We start from the raw sequence: 16,716 nt of genomic DNA on the forward strand, positions 1-16,716 counted from the left end.
GAATGTAACAAGGTAGATTCACAACAACTCAACCAAGAGTTATAAAACAGCTTCCTCTATTTCTCCAAGGTGATTATTAGATTTTGGAAGGCTGAAGGGAAAAAAAAAAAAAAAAGCAGTTCAGAGACACCATCAAGGAAGTGAGCTCAATGTTTTAGCTTTCTACTTGTGGTTTATCTTCTGCCTTGAGTATCTGGGTAAGACCACCACTTGCCCCCACCCCAATACCCCAAGCTGGAAAAAGGTTCTTTGGAGTGAGATTCACACTTTTAGATCACTAAATACAGCCAACATGTCCTGGAAACCATCTCATGTTTATCACATCCTCTGGGAATTCTAAGAAATTCTGATCTCAGAGGGCTTGCAGACCATGGAACCTCTGCCCAAGGGGCTGGGAGCTTTTGGTTTCCCAAAGCCTCGTTTGAGTGGACCCATATTCTATCATAGGAGAACAAGGCCAAGTTCACTAAACCAAGGGCTATGTCCCATCTGCCTGGGCAAACTGTCCTTCCTGAAATGGCTGAACAATACCCAATGTGACAGGAATCCATCCATTCTTCCACCCAGCACTAACCATGGGACCCCAGAGCAGGACTAGGGTTGACTATGACCTACGTCCAAGTTGCTGGTAAGTAGGCAAGCAGTGAAGAGATGAGACATGGAGATCACAAAACAGGGCATGAGGTCTTTGGGGTAGCCATAGGAGAAAGGGAACTGAAACAGAGAGAGAGGCCAGTCCATGGAGACAGGAAAAGCTCAGGAAAGAGAAGAACTTTGGTTCGGGGACATTTATAAAGAGGGACAGAAGCAGAGCAGGCCACTCAGGAAGTGAGGGAGTGTGGCTTGGACTTTTCCTGGCTGGGAAAACACACAGAAAGAGCCTGTTTCCTCTGCAAGCAGAGACGTGAGGGAGCTCAGCCAGGCTGGGAGTGTCCAGAAGGCGGAGCCCCGGACTGGCTGGAAAAGAGAACTCCATCTCAGGAACCATGGTTTGCCCTGGAGAGCTTAGCACTGGGCTGAGCACACCGTGTGGGATTCAACGTGCTAAAGTGAGTCACCATGGGCCACCCCAAGAGCCTCCCAATTTGTCGCCTGCTTCCTTTCTTGCCCTCCACCCGCTCTGTTCTCCATGCCGTGGCCAGAACAACCTGATAGCACTGCAGACCTGTGTCTCCTCCCTTCTTAGACGCCCTGGCTGGGCTTGCACTGTGCATATCTGCTTCCCTCTCCTTACAGCTAGCCCACCAGCCCTCACATGATCTAGCCTCTGCGCACGACCCAAGCCTCATCCGGCCGTCCGGCCCCTGCCCTGCCCTTAACTGGCCTCCCTAGGTTTCTTGAACACACCATAACATACTTTCTTTTCCTCCTGGGGGACCCTGCCCTCTGCCTAGAAAGCTTTTTTCCACAATTCACCAAACCAGCTCTTCTTCCTTTCAGATCACAGTCTCAAAGCTCCCCCTGGCCACCCCAGCTCAGGAAGGATTTATTTCCCTACTTACACCTTGTTTCTCTCACACGCTCCATTTTTTGCCTTGACTGCACTTCTTGCAATGTGTACTGACCCATTTAATATCAGGCTTCAGCCCAAGTGTTGTGAAAAGGCAATGATCTCAGGTCTCCATTGCATCCCCAGCACGAGCAGAGTCCCTGGCACATTCAGGGCTCAGCACACTGTTGAACAATGGAATGAACAGGTAATTTACTTGCCTGTAAAGAGTTACTCTCCAAATTATCCCCACATCTTCCCTCTTACCAACCAGTTAAACCCATGCTATATTAAAGACATGAGGTATTAGTAACAGTTAACATCCACTGAGTGTTTTTCATGGGCCCCAAGTTTTCCTGGGTTGAGCACACTGTGTGTGATTCAACATGCTAAACTGAGTCACCATGGGCCACCCTAAGAACCTCCTAATTTGTTGCCTGCTTCCTTTCTTGCCTTCATTTAACCCTCACAGCAACCTAATGAGGTCAGTCTTATTCTTTCCATTTTACAGATGAAAAAAATCAAGGCTTAAGATTAACTTAGCAGTTTATCCAACAGCTCCTGGCTAGTCAGTGTCAGGACCAGGATTTCAATCCAGGCAGCCTGACCCTTGGGCTGTGTGTATAGCTACCTTCAGACACAAAAGGAAAAGGTCCCAAGGGCATGTCTTTGGAGAATCAACCCCTGACTTTGTGTGGTGGAAACAGAAAACCAATGAGTCTGCAATAGGTGTCTCAGCAGGCTGGGAAATGAGGTTATTTGGTGATAAATCTAACTCTTCAAAATTAGCTCTGCTCTCTGAGTCCGGGTGCCTGTGCTTCCAGAAGCCCCCCAAGGCTCTAGTCCTCTAATGACTAGGTCAGATCAAAGTCAGAGTTCCCAGTGAACACCAGCTTTCTGGTGGGACATGCCTCTTCCTGGGCAGTGAGGCCCACTGTGCAGATCAACCGCATGTCCAGGAGCCCTTGCAATGGGCTGAGCTGGCTTTGGCCACCTCTTGTCAATTAGCCATGTCCAGGCTAATTGACAAGAATATTTTGACAAAGGATGTTTCAATCCTATTTAAATAGACTTTCTCCACAAATCCCATAACACGTAATGAGGTTATTTTATCTAGAAAGATATCCAATGACCTGGAAAAAAAAATTGGTGTGTGTTAAAGTGACCCTATGTCTGCATTTCCACAAGCTTCTCTAAAACTTACTGACGACAGTATCTGCCTGGCTACAGACTGTGAAGGTGTTTATTCATTCCAGAGTCCCTTTCCTGTCCCTCTGCCCTGGGGAAACACAGTGAGCTGTATGCCCAGCAGTGTAGACCACAGACCCCACACTAACTGGGCATAGGAATTCCCTGGGAAGCACTTTACAAATACAGATTTCCAGGCTCCCCCACTGAAGAGCATGATTCAGCAGATCTGAGGTGTGGCACAGGACTCTGTATTTTCCTGGTTCTCCAGCTCTCCCTGTGCAAGCAGGCCTGTGCCGCAGGGCGTGGGCATCATCGAGTAGTGGTGTGGATGCTGTTGGCATGTAGTGTCTTGCCGGGATCCAGGCCTAGCCACTCCTTTCTGTGGGATCCTTGACCACGTAACCACTCGGCCTCAGTTTCTTTATCTAGAAGAGGGGTACACAAATACACGGCCTGCTTGCTCCTTGGGTGGCTTTCAGGGATCAAGGGAGGTGGTATGAGTAAAATAATAACAAGAATTAACATTTATCAACTGTCAGCACCAGATGAAGCACTTTGCCTGAATAACTTAGTCTTCATGAAAATTGTATGAGTGTGTTACTGTTGCTATTTCTGTTTTAAAGGTAAATAACCGAGACAGAGTTTAGGCAGCTAATCCAAAGACACCCAGCTTGGGATGTGAACTTGGGCATGAGTCAGGGCCCTGGCTCCGCTACAGTCGCTCCTGGCCAGTGCTGTGTCTGTGTGAGAAGCTGTCTTAGATTCAGCTTTCCTGCTATGTCCCTCTCTGACAGCATTGGGATGTGAAGTTCTACACAGAGCAATGGTGCAGGAGGACCCCTGAACATTCAACATGGCTGCCCGGTGCCCTTCTGAGGAAGACAAGGAACAGATGGCCCTCGCAACCCTCGCCTTCCTGCCAACTATTAGGATGCAGAAGCAGGCGCCAGCTTCTGCTCACAGGAAAGAAGAAAAACACAATGGCAGTAACAACTCCAACTGGGGCATGAGTTGCCATTTTGAATTGCCAAGGCTGGAGACCAAAAATATTGAGAAGTCTTAAAACAATGGCCCCTTAAATTTGTACATTTGACAAAGAGGAGAGGGTGCTACCATTTACTGAGCACCTACTCTGTGCAAAACTCTTTCAAGTGGTCACTTCTCTTAGTCCTCACAGTAGTCCCATGAAGGAGGACGTTATCTTAGCCCATTTTACAGATGAGAAACCTGGGTCTCAGAGATACTAATGAAAGTAACCCAGGGCCAGCAAGGAGTGGACACTGGGTCTGAATTCACATTGAACTGGTTCCAAAACCCTGCCTTTCTGAACTACAGCGCCCCTCCAGAGAGCATGTTCATGTTCATTATGGTGGGCGGCCTTGACTCATACTTGACATGGATGTCCCAGAGATTCCCTACACACAGCTTTCAATACTGAAGATGGAGCTCTCTGTCCCCGGGTGGGGCCGCAGCATCACAGTGCCTGTGGGAAGGCTGGGCAGACTGAAATAAAAGGGATTTCTGCCTGCTCCTTCTCTTACACTAAGGTACATGTGCCCACCTAAGTATCAGCCAAGCCAAGGAGAAAAGCCACAATTAACTGAGCACTTACTTGGTGCCAGGAACTTGCTCACAAACGATATTAAAATTTTACAGCAACCATGCCAGACTAGGTCTTATTTTCCTTATTTTACAGATGCAGAACCTGATGCCCAGCAAAGGGGAAAGGATAGCAGGAGCCTTGATCCACCCAGGAAGAGGTGCCAGCTGGATCAGCAAGAGGCTGGTGGAGAACAAGAAGCTGCTATGAACCAATCTTTAGAAAACAGCAGGATCTCCGAGGAGAGAAAGAATTTCTCTCCAGCCAAAAGCTTCATGAGATGGAAGGGGATATCCTATCTCCTATATTGTATCCTCATCATGGTCTCAATAAACCCACTTGGAAGATGCCCATGCATGAGCGTCGACGGTGACTTCCCGAGGCTGGACGGCGATCCTTCCCACTGCAGAAGGCGGGGTGCTGAGCACTGTGCTGGGGCTTTCTGTGCACCATCTTCATTTGGTGCATTTTGAGGGGTCATTCATTCTATCAACATCTCATTATAGAAGGCAGAGTTCAGAGAAATTAGGATGGCTGCCCAAGGTCACCTAACTACTCTGAGAAAGAGCTGACATTCAAATCTAGGCCCCTGAGCCTGAGCTTTCCACATGACACTGTAGCATCTTTCAACAATCAGAGGACAATCTAGGCAAGTCAATTATTGTAGGTATGTGGCTCCCCATGCCCCATGGGAGAGGAAGGGTACATACTGCCTCATAAGAAGTTCTATCAGTACATGAGTGATAGAGAGGTTACCATTCCCTGAGGTTGCCTATAGGACAACTGCACACTAGGTCAGACCCAAAAAACTGGAACTACACTTTATAGATGGCACTGGAGAAAGTAGATGGCTTCTGAAGGCTACAAATGAATCCCAGCCCTGCTCAGACCAGAAATCTGGTCAAATCTGCTCCCTAGACTGGGGGAGTAGAGAACCTGAGGGCTGGATAGGTACCATGGGTGAACCATCTCCCTGGTCTGGACTTAAAGGTCTGATTTTGATATCAAAACATAAGAACCTCCCTCAATTCTTAACTACATCCAAATTCTGGCTATGCCACATGATGTCCTATCTTCCAGGAAGAAGCATCACACCTGGCTTCTAGCTTGGGCTTTCATCCACTTAAAGGAATCCACAGCATCATGGCCATCATGACGTCACATGAGGTTTATTTAGGTTTGAGGCCTGTCTCCTATCATGAAAGTCCATCTACCAGCACCTACCAGATGGCTAAAAGGAAGCAAAAGACACTCTGGGTGCAGGCAGGAGCTGATGTCAAGGGGAATCCCTTCTGCAGGACAGCTAAGAGATCCACACAAAACAGATGGAGCCAATTTAATATCTCTCCCAGCAAAGGAGTCGTATTAGGAAAGCAAGGACAGAGCAGAAGCATTAGTATAAATTACTCTGAGCGTTCATAAAGGTTTGCTGCTCAACACTCCCCGGAGGCTAAAGAATTGTTTGCTCCAGCCTCTCAGACCCAAAGCATGCAAATTAATAGTCATGATTTATCAAGAGGTATTTTTCATTGGTGTTCTTGGACCAGGTTTCTTTAAGTATTTGGGTTCATCTATCTAGCATGTGCCTGGCTGAGTACTGCTACTATTATGCAAAATGCATCATAAATCCAACATTTAAGAGAGGTTTATTTAAGCCAGTCTAGAGCTTCCAGGGTCCAAGCTCATTACCATGAACACAACTAATTCCTGGCAGGGTATGGGGCAGTGGAAGCCAGTCCATTGCATCTGTAAGCCACTGAACGGTCACAGTCTCTGTGGGTGGGGTGTGGGGCTGGGAGGAGGACCAAGGCACCTTTGTCCCACTCCAGAGCCTGCCATCCCTGGTTCAGCCTCTGCTTTGAGGCTGCCACATCTTTGATCAAGCTATTACTTCCTCCTGGCACCCCCTTCCTAACCCCTACATCTTTCTCTTCTCAAACTAAACAGCTGTAGGCCCACTAAAGCTTTTCCTGATCATCCAAGGCAAGGCCCACCCTCTGACCTCTCAGGAGGAGAGAGCCTACAAAGGAAGCCTGTGAAGGAGGGTAGGCAAGGAGGCTGGATGTGAGCCTGCAGGTTCTGGGCCCAGGCCCTCCTCCCTTTGAAACCTCAGTCTCTTCATTTGGATAAGATGACTTCAAAATTCCTTTCGGGCAAACGTTGAATTGAGTTCTCATGCCTTGGAACTCCTGCTCTCTGTTTTCTGTTATATGAGGCCATGAGTTCCATGAGGATGTAAGCTGCTCCCCTTCCTCACATCCTCCCCAGAACCCAGCACAGTGTGTCTGAAAAACAGCAAATGCTGTGAAAAGATGAAAGGGAGGAGAAAGGAGAGAAGAGGAAAAGAAGGGAGGAAGGAGGGGAGCCACTCAGCTAAGTGAGGACCTCACTGATAAGTCATCAACCATTCTAGACAAAACAAATTATCATCATGGCCACTCCTTTGAGGACGAAATGCGACATCTGCTTTAAATATTGAAAATAATAACCATATATATGGAAGACTTACAATAGTCACAATCTCACTGCTGGGGAGGGGAGGTGACCTGATCCCCAATTTCGCAGAAGAAACTGGTTCAGAGAGGTGCAGCAACAAACTCAAGGTCACATAGAAAGAGACAGAGCCAGGGTTTCAGGCACTTCCACTGAACCACTGGGCTACCTATTGTACATTTGTTTCCAGAAGGCAGAAGCAGCCTGGCATGTGTGAAATCCCTAGGGCATAAGGGAGCCCAGGCTGCCCTTCTCTAGCCAGAGTCCTGCTCCTGCACCAACTGCACCTGACCAGGTTCCCAAGCACTGACTCCAGGGCAGGACCTTGGTCAGACCCTCATCGCTGCTCACCAGGCTGTGGCTCCAGGCAGAGCCATCTTGGTTTCACAGCCTGGGTTTAGGCTGATTAAAAGAAACATCTAAATGACAGAGTATCATATCATTCCAGCTATAGTAATTGCCCCAAAGAGATCAGCCACAAGATGTGGGTTTAACCAGGTGCAGATATAAGAGAGGACAGTGGGGTTGGAGCAGGGGTAAGGAGGTATTAACATTTGTTGAAATGTTCACCTACAACATGCAGGCATGTACTCTAGGTCATCCCAGGCACTCTGAATGTGCAACTTTTGTGTAACTTTCATAATGACCATAGGAGGAAAGATGATTATCCCGTTCCACAGATTAGGAAATTGAGGCCACACAGCTGGAAGGAAATGAAGCTAGGACTCGACCCTAGACCCACCCAACTCTGAAGCTTGGGCTAGGGGCTGGGCCTGTTCCCTTAGCCGGGTTAGTGCATGGCACTAATGAGATCGGGGTCTGCGTGTGGGGCCCACATTATCTGACATGAGAATGTGCTTTTATAAACTGAACTCTAAACAATCACTTTTTTGTTTTTGCCCTCGCACAGAACAAATTTCTCTCCTTTGGCCATGGCCTGAGGGCCAGTTTCATGGTGTGAACGCACACCTTTAGTGCCACAGAGACAGAGCAGATGGGGTGGCTGGCTGAAGGCAGGCCTTCACGACTGTTCAGGACAAGATGGAGGCCAAAACTCAGACTTCAGCAGTTGTTTAACTCTTTTTCCTGCCTTTGAGACTGTCAGACTGTCACCTCGATGCAGGCTCACGTATCTGCAGCGCTGGCTGGCTGTGTGCCCTGAGCTCAGTTTCCTCATCTGTGAAAGGGGGATGATGATACTTACCTCACACATCTGCAGTGCGGATGAAATGAAATAACGTATGTGCTGCATTCAGCAAGTACCTGGCCCATTCCAGGGGCTCAGTAATGGTAGCCATTATTCTGATTATTGTCATCATCTTTCAACTTCACACCCACCAGACCCTGGTGGACTCAGCAGATGAGCGGAGACGACCACTGTGGGAGCCACTGAATTGCCCCAGGCCCCAGAATGGAACCTGGCACCAGCTGGAGCAGCCCTGCTGTCCAGCCCTGCTCCTGGGCAGGTCAGCTCTGAACCTTCTCCGTCCACTCTCTGAAAACTGCCTAGTATATCAGCAGCTGAGTCACCACTGTGTGCCAGAAAGGAAGCCACTCACACACTGCATAGTGCAAAAACCCCACCCCTCCAATTTCCGTTTTGTTAGAGAGAATGTCACTGGTGAGGGCCTGCATCCATTCTCTCACCCCTAAACAAGGGGGCCTAAGTAAAGCCCAGAGAAGCTGGGCTGGAGCTTTTGAAGAAGCACAGAATCCTAGGCTCAACACCCCAAATCGATTCAGAAGGGCTGGAGGATTCGGGACCATGCCCTAGGAAAGAGGGAAGCTCTCATCTTCTTGTCAAGAGGAGGCAGACAAGCTCCCGGCTGGCACTTTGAGGGAGAGAGCATCTTCATTAGGAAGATCATTGGTTTGGGAAGTGATTAAATAGAATTAAGAAGACAGGGCGTGGGTGGTTATTGGTGTGGCCAAGGCTTCCAGGAAGAAGAAACTGTTTCATATAATGAGAGGGAGGAATACAGATTGGCAGGGGCATTTGGCAGGAAAAGGGCAAGAAGCAATTTGATAGGAGAAGGAGAAAGCCAGCCTCAGCTCCAAAATGTGACTGTCCCCAGGACCCTTCCCTAAAATGAAAGTGCTCTGAATGTCTCATCCAGAACTGCGAGAGGGAATGGTTTTCTTGCCAGCATTGACCTGGGGCAAAACATGGCCCACAGGCACACGAGCCTCAGCCAGACACAGAGGAGACTGTGACACATGTCCCAGAAGGTGCTGAACTCCCACGAAGGCTGACAATGTCCCATGGCATAAGGGCAGGGAGGAGGTGAGTCAGGAGAACCCCAGCAGCCATCAGGTTTGTACAAGGATCTGGGGCTGACGCTCCTGCAGGTCACTGGCTAGCAAAAGACAGCCAGTCATGAGAAGGAGCCGAAAAACATAAAAAGAACCAAAAAAAAAAAAAAAAAACTCAATAAGCCAAATAATCCCCACACTTTCTCCTTTTAACTGGTCCCCAAAACACCCTTTTCAAGTAAGAGAACACTGGCCCAATGTTCAGCTTTCCTGCAGGTAAAAAGAATTTTAATTAAAAAGTAAATTGCAGTTTGAGTGCACCTGGTAATGTGTGCAATGGCCTTAAGCCAATTAAGAAGAGGTTTCCCTTTTATCCTTTCCTTCACCAGGTTGAATGTATTGCTTGGCTTTTACAGAAAGAAGAAAGAGAAAAAGCAAAAAGCGACAAGGCATCTTCATAAGAGACCCCACCTCCCGGGTCAGGAGATGAGGCGGGATGTCAAGGTTGTGCGTCGCAGCAGCCGGGCCTCCTGTGCGCAGGACAAATGGGCAACGTGATCCCCTTGCAGGCTGCTGCCTTCCTTCGGGACTCCTGCTGCATTAGCAAAATCAATGAAGGGGAGAAGAAAGGGAGGTGCAATCCCAGCCAACCTTTCCCTAACAGCTCTTTCCTAAAAACCACCTTCTGATGCCTTGTGCCTTGTTAGAAATGGAAAGGGCTATGTCAGCAGCGAAGAACTTGAGGCTTGGACCAGCTGGCTCCCTGGAAACCCAAAAGGGATGGGGTGGCCTCTCTTGCCCCCTGGCTTCAGGAAGGAAGGAAGGAAAGAAGGAAGGGCAGCATCACAGGGCAGCCAGGGAAAAAACAAAGACAGCCAAGAGGGCGGCTCGGGTTTCCCAGCCAGCAGCACCCCAGCAGACACATAGGTTTGGCTGGGAACTGGCTGTGGGCAGACACAATCCCACTGGAGAAAAATGTGAATCTGGACATTTGTTTAGCTGAGTGGCGGTGATGGCAAAGGAAGGCTCCAGTCCTGCAGCCGTGGCATGGCGCCAGCTCTCAGGAACTTACTGAGCCACCCTGGTCTGCTGGATCTAGGGAGCCCTGAGTCGAGCCCCACCTGTCACCATACTCTAGGTTTGACCAGGACTAGAAGATGACAGACAGCAGGCTACTCGGCTGGGCTATATGGCTTGCTCACTGGCTTGCTCACTTCAGGTAGTGATTTTCAAATTCCGTCATTTAATGTGTGTCCAAATAAACTCCTATGCAAACCTCAATATATAATACAGATGGAATGGAGCTGCTCGGATTAGGTGGGGGTTGAGGTGGGAGTTTCTATCCCTGTCCTACCCATCAGGCCTCTAGCCTCTGGAACCCCGCCAGGGTACCCCATGGGCATCGCAGGCCATCATCAGAAACCGTGAAGATTAGACCTGGGCTTTGGGACTGACACCTGGAGCTCCTTGTGAGGAGGGGCAGTGAAAGAGCAGGTACGATTAAGATTAATTGATAACCTGTCTCTTTCTGAATAAATGATTAAGCCCATTCCTGTGTGCTCTAAGGCCATGCCAACAGACAATTGTATAAATCAATGTGCTAAGCCCTGGAATGCTCAAGAGCTAATTTCCACATTTTCACTCTGTTTCAGTGAGGAGAGAGCCCTGGGAGCAGGGGTTGTGAAGAATGTGGCTTGAACATTCTGTAGTCAACCTCTGAGTTGTGACTCAGTGAGTTCTCCTATAAAATGCCTTCAGAAAACCTGAAAACTCAACAAAAGATGTGCCCCAACCCCTCAGTGTGGTGGCTTCCTAGAGGATGAGAGGAAGGCCAGGTGGAGGGAGTCTGGACGGTGGAAAGTTCTGTATTATTCAACTTCAGACAAAAAAGCAAAATGGAAATTGAGTTAAAGAGACAGACAGATATCTCTGTGAAACAGACTCTCTTTCACAATCATTTTGACCCTGGGGTTGCCACTAACTCACCATTGTGACCTTTGGCCTGTCACATTCCATGTTTGGGTCCAGGTTTCCCAGTTTGTTCCCAAGATGCAAACCCCTTGGTGAAATACCTCGGCAGACTCAGGGCAAACCTCATGTGTTCTCAATCCGACAGCAAGGAAGGTGCCATCTTATTCCTTCTCCCTCCCGCCACCCCCAAAGACTAGCCCTGGGTCCTCCTCATCAAATTTGCTTTCCTAAGACCGTCCCTGAGATGTAGCCATGAACATCCCAGGCTTCTCATGTTTCCCGGCTTTTGCCCAGACTGTTCCTCCACTTAAAATCCCTCCCTTCCGCATCCTGCTACTGAACTCTTCTTCCTCATTTTTCCAGTGCAAATGTCTACAGTTCTGTGGCCAGGTAGCTCAGCCACTGGAGTTGTAGATTAATGAGACCTCCGCACAGAAATACTATTCAAAATACTTAACAACTGGAACAGATGGGCACTGCCCATGCAGAACACCCAACCAATCTGAACAGATGTTGGTCAAGACAGCCCATATGGCCATGCCAGCATGTTCCAGTGACCATTGGCCCTGCCCACACCAAGGGTCATCACACCATAGCAGGGCTGCCTCCATCCCTAACTCACTCCTGGGCTCAGCAGGGATTAGGGCAGAGGATGGACAGCTCTTTACCAGCTGTGAAGCATCTCCAAGGGCAGTTCTGTAGCCACAGGATCCAGGGTTATTTCTAACCTACCCTGGACTAGGCAGTGGCATTGTGACTTTTGTAATCTCCACCGTCCTCCGGCACAAGGCACTTTAGTGAAAGGTTGCCAAAGACTGTGTCATCCTCCACGGTGCCACCCTGAAGCCTGCTTCACAGCTCCCTGCGGCCGTTGGAAAGAGGGAGACAGTGTGTGTTGATAAGGACAATTTATGTGCTGCATGTGTTTTGTCTATTTGCTGGTGTCCCGAGAGAAGCCGGCTTGCTGAGCCAAGGCTGCGGCAGCCAGAGAGACTTCCAAAGACATGAGACAAAAGTGCCCTGAGGCCTGAGGTGGGGCAGGGCTGGAGTAGGGGCCCCGACAGCACTGTCCATGCTGGTGTTGATGAGTATAAGTACAGAGCAGAAGAGAAGGCCAGTACAACAGGCAGGCCTCACAGAATCACCAAGGAGCACTGGCTGTGGCCAATGTGACAGATTCATTTTCATCCGGGTACACAAAGACTCTAAACAGAGCCAGGTGCTGGTCATGTGTGATTCCTGCCTTCTGGGGATGCCTGCCAGGATTTTCTGCTTCCCTCGCCCACCTGTAATAGCTGCTGCATTTCCTGCTATTTTTGAGGTAAACACTGATCCAAGCAAGGACAGGGGCACGCTACAGTGAGACCCCAGCTGACCTCCCCTCCTCCTCCCCTGCCCCCTCCCCATGACACCCCCAGCCCTTGGCAGGACTTGGTCACCTGCTGCACTCACAGAGCAGGGCTCCTGAAGGGTGCAGCTTGTTATTAATTCAACAGGGGCTGCCGAGTGGGCACTTTATCCCGCCTGGCTCCTGCTACCCACTCCTGGCTAAGCTCACAGACGAAGAGAAATTCTCCATCCAGGGGCCTAAAAAGAATGCATGTGGCTGCTGCATCTTTAGCAGGATAGAAGCAGCCAGGCAGGGAGAGGTTGTGCTTATTCCTAAAAGGGTGGTCACTCTCCACATGCTGGGAGCCTCTTTTCTTTGAGACCCACAGGTGACCAGCCATTCACATTCAACATCTAATTATTGAAAGTCCACCAGATGTCAGGCATCTGGTATACCAGATAGGGGGCTAAAGAGGACAAAGTCCCTGCCCCCAGGATGTTTACAGTTTACTGGAAGAGAAAGACAACAAATGAGTAATCTAGTATTTCCTAGTATACATGAGGTTCCATGTATACTGTGTATTAGGAAAAACCAAGCAGAGGCAGTGGGAAAGAGTAGAATGGGCTGCTAGGGAAAGCCTCCCTGGAGAGGTGACATATGGGGAAGAGGGCTGAACAAAGTGAAGAGGGCATTCCCGAAAGAGGAAAGAGCAGGCAAAGGCTCTGAAGCAGGAACAAAGCTGATGTGTTTGAGAACAGCACAAGCTGATGGGTCAGAGCAGAATGAGAGGCTTCAGAGAGTGGAGGGAGAAAAGGGCAGGGAGCTGGGCATGGCCAGGAGGCAAAGGGCCTTTGTTCCCAATCATTCACTGCCCCTCCCTATAAGAGGGCTATGCATGCCTGTCCGTTGCCCCGTGGCTTGCAGTGCTATCCAGTGGGGGATTCTGTGTCCCATCCCACAGTGACAATGAGTGACTGTCTCACTTGCTTGGACCACTGGAATAGGAGCAGAAGTGATAAACATGCACCAATTTGAGAAGAAGCTTTAAGAGCCATTATGACTTACAGCTATTGTTCTCTTTTCCTCTGCCACAAGATGGAAACAATAGCTGCTCCCTCAGCCCAGTTCCTGGATTGTAGATATCGTGTGAAGCAGCGCAGACTTTCAGTATGCAGTAGAAATACACATTGAGGGCTAAAAGCCTTTGTGATGTTGCTCCAGCATAACCCAGTGGAAACTAACCAACACAGCCTTTCAGCCCTCATCAAAGGTGATGCAACTTATTCTTCCTACAATTAATAATCATTACAGGGCTTTAGGAAGTAAGCATTTTTAAAAGATTACTCTAGTTGTTGAGTGAAGAACGGACCCACATCAGCTGCACCTCTTTCTCCAACTCCTCACCACAGCCACAGAGCACAGCCACTGCCACACACACCCCACAGAAGTGGTTGTCATGGTCCTGCAGAGAGGAAGATCTAAGATTTCCCTGAACCATCCTATTATCCCCCATGCTATTTTTATATCCCAAAATGAGAGGCATGGGACTCTAAGTCCTGCCAACACTCAACTCAGGAAGGTCGTTCATGTGCTCTTCCATAAAAACCAGGAGGGCCAGCAAAGCCTGGTGCTTTCCAGCTCTTTCCTGAGAAGTTACACTCAATTTGTCCCTTTAATGAGGTTTTTCCACAGCAGCACAGAACCAGTCTCCTGCTGAGTTATTGGTCAGGGAACACAAAGCCAATTCCACCCTGGTCTCCTATTTCTGGCAAGACCATCCTGGGGCTATTTCTCAAAGCAGCTGGTCCTTCTAGATGCTAGCCCTCTGTGTGCACACTTATATCTCATAATGGATGGTGACCTATCAGATGCCTTTGGGTCCTCCAGAGCAGCTGACCAGTGCCAAGTACATAGGAGGAGCTCAATTCATACATTCTGAATGAATGAAGAAATGTAGACTATCTGAATCCATAGGTGAAAATAAAATCCACGGGGTAAAAAGGTTTCTAGCTCTGTTTCTGGCTGGAAAGTGCACGAAAGCTGAGTTTAATCAATAAATAAGAGTTGTAGCTACTAAATTCCTCTCCACCTGGCCCCAGCAAAGGATACATTTACATCTCATTCCCCAAATGTAGGACATCCAAAGACCAGAGGTCCCATGAGACGCCACTTCTTCAAATGCCGACATTTTGAAGAACACACACCAAGATATTTCCAAAGCCCTGACCACATACGTGGTCAGGGAAAATGCTTAAAGCTTCAGCTCCTTTCAGAAAAGCAAAAATCAAACCAGACTTATAGCACTATCGGCCAGTAATGGTTAAGCTCACATGATGTGCAAGGCATTCACTGGGCTAGGAGGGAGAAATAAAGAAATAGCCCTGTCTGCAAGGAGCAGATGATCTCAATATCATTATAAGGCCCAAATAAATGAATTATGGTCTTAGACAAGTCAACGGCTCCCCACAAGATGAAAGCACAAGGTCACACTCAATGAAATAGAGATGAACTGAATTCTTGTGAGGACATAGGAATTCGAAAAGGAATGGCATCATGAGCTGGGCTGGCTGGAGACAGATTTAAGCTTTGAAAACTGTGGTCAAGCAGAAAAGAGATAAGAGGACATACGGAGAGAAGTAAAAAGGGGAAGTAGAAGAAGCGGCCCCTGAGATTCCAGGGAACTTGGTTCCAAATGGTAGGACAAGTGGGCCAGCGGCAATAAAATTAGAGCAAAGTGTCCTTCCAGCAGCTGGGGACAGGAAGCTCGAGGATAGACACTGACCTATGCCAGGAAAGGCCTGGAAGTTATGTCCAGGGAAGAAGAAAAATAAATAAATAACACCTTGCAAACACAAGGGGACAGTTTGTATTTTAAAGTCTTGGAAAAGTAAATCAAAGTAAACAGGAACCTTGGAGCCATCAGGTTACTGTTGGAAAGCTGATGGGAGATGCCGTAAGAGAAATGGGTTCCTATTCTCCAGTGCATTTCAACTGGCCATATTCTCAGCAGTGAATGATGGAGGCAGAGCTCAGAGAAGCACGTCTGAACACGTAAGGACCGAGAGGCGAGTCTTCAGTGAAACACCCACAGAGAGCCGTTTGCCCCTTGAGATTCCTGAGGAGTGTGGAGAGCAAAGAAGCAAACCCAATGAGTCACAGTGTAAATTATTCCTATTAGTCAGTGCTATCTTATAAGCACACATACACATAAAGCACTTCTGCTGCAGACTGAAGTATGAAGGTTGTCTCAAGAGAAAGAGCTTATACAATCGAGGTGGACAATGAACTACGTACTTTTTTCATGAAACACTATTTTCACTTAAAAGAACAACTGATGAACAAATCATAATTATTCATACTTGGGAATTTGGTGAACTTTTCTCAAAGTCTTGTCACTCCAAGGAAAATAAGTGATAATATTTTTCCCCAGTGATAAAATCCAAGCTTTTAAGGAAAATTTATAATTATGGAAAACTTGCCTCCACCACTATGAGCTTGACGGCTTCCCAACACCTAAAGACTTCTGATGATATAAATGGTAATATTAATGGAAGTGATTTTTCACACTGTATAATAAAATATGTCCACATTTAGAAGATCTGCCTAACTCTGTGAGCTTATCCTTTCCAAATGACTAATGTATAATATTACAAAATCATGCTTGGATAAAAGATATAAGCAAAGTACAAGGCAGACCACAGATTTTGATGTAACAGAATATAAAACATTTACTGATGTGGTTTCAGATTTCACTCCAACTTCTAGAAACTTATCACTTGTCCAGTTTGGGTGTAGTATCAAAGAAGAATATCCATAATTATCTGAAAATATTAAAATACTCCTTCTTTTCCCATCTACATATATCTGTGAAGAAAAATCTTTTTTTTTTTTTTTTCCGAGATGGAGTTTTGCTCTTATTGCCCAGGCTGGAGTACAATGGCGTGATCTTGGCTCACCACAGCCTCTGTCTCCCAGGTTCAAACGATTTTCCTGCCTCAGCCTCCGGAGTAGCTGGGATTACAGGCATGCGCCACCACGCCTGGCTAATTTTGCACTTTTTGTAGAGATGGGGTTTCTTCCATGTTGGTCAGGCTGGTCTCGAACTCCCGACCTCAGGTGATCCGCCCACCTTGGCCTCCCAAAGTGCTGGGATTACAGGCATGAGCCACCGCGCCCGGCCGAAAAATCTTTTTCATACTTCAACCAAAACAACATATCACAACAGGCTGAATGCAGAAGTAAATGTGAGACTCCATTTTTCTTCTATCAAACCAGGTATCAAAAAGATTTGTGAAAATAGAAAACAAGGCCACTCTTCTCAATAAGTTTTTTTTTTTTTTTTTTTTTGGCTGTTGCTTTGGAAACTGCAATAGACTGAATGTTTGTGGC

At 47.8% G+C, this 16,716-nt stretch overlaps 1 protein-coding gene and 1 long non-coding RNA gene across 7 annotated transcripts in view, besides 1 other annotated feature; one reads left to right on the top strand and one right to left on the bottom strand.

Annotated features, from left to right (window-relative positions):
- GALNT18 (polypeptide N-acetylgalactosaminyltransferase 18) overlaps positions 1 to 16,716 on the bottom strand; it is a 351,129-nt gene that overhangs the window by 298,272 nt on the left and 36,141 nt on the right. The window lies entirely within an intron of this gene.
- On the top strand, positions 817 to 4,629 carry GALNT18-AS1 (GALNT18 antisense RNA 1). Its single transcript, XR_007062595.1, has 2 exons — positions 817 to 1,049; positions 4,377 to 4,629. It is a non-coding gene; the product is annotated as a GALNT18 antisense RNA 1 (long non-coding RNA).
- Positions 1,156 to 1,655: an enhancer, noted in NCBI's record as "H3K4me1 hESC enhancer chr11:11591851-11592350 (GRCh37/hg19 assembly coordinates)". NCBI's record gives its function as "activates a minimal SCP1, AML or CMV promoter by ChIP-STARR-seq in primed H9 embryonic stem cells {active_cell/tissue: H9 hESC(primed)}" and the evidence as "EXISTENCE:reporter gene assay evidence [ECO:0000049][PMID:30033119]".

Source organism: Homo sapiens, chromosome 11, assembly GCF_000001405.40.
Source record: "Homo sapiens chromosome 11, GRCh38.p14 Primary Assembly".
Taxonomy (NCBI): Eukaryota; Metazoa; Chordata; class Mammalia; order Primates; family Hominidae; genus Homo; species Homo sapiens.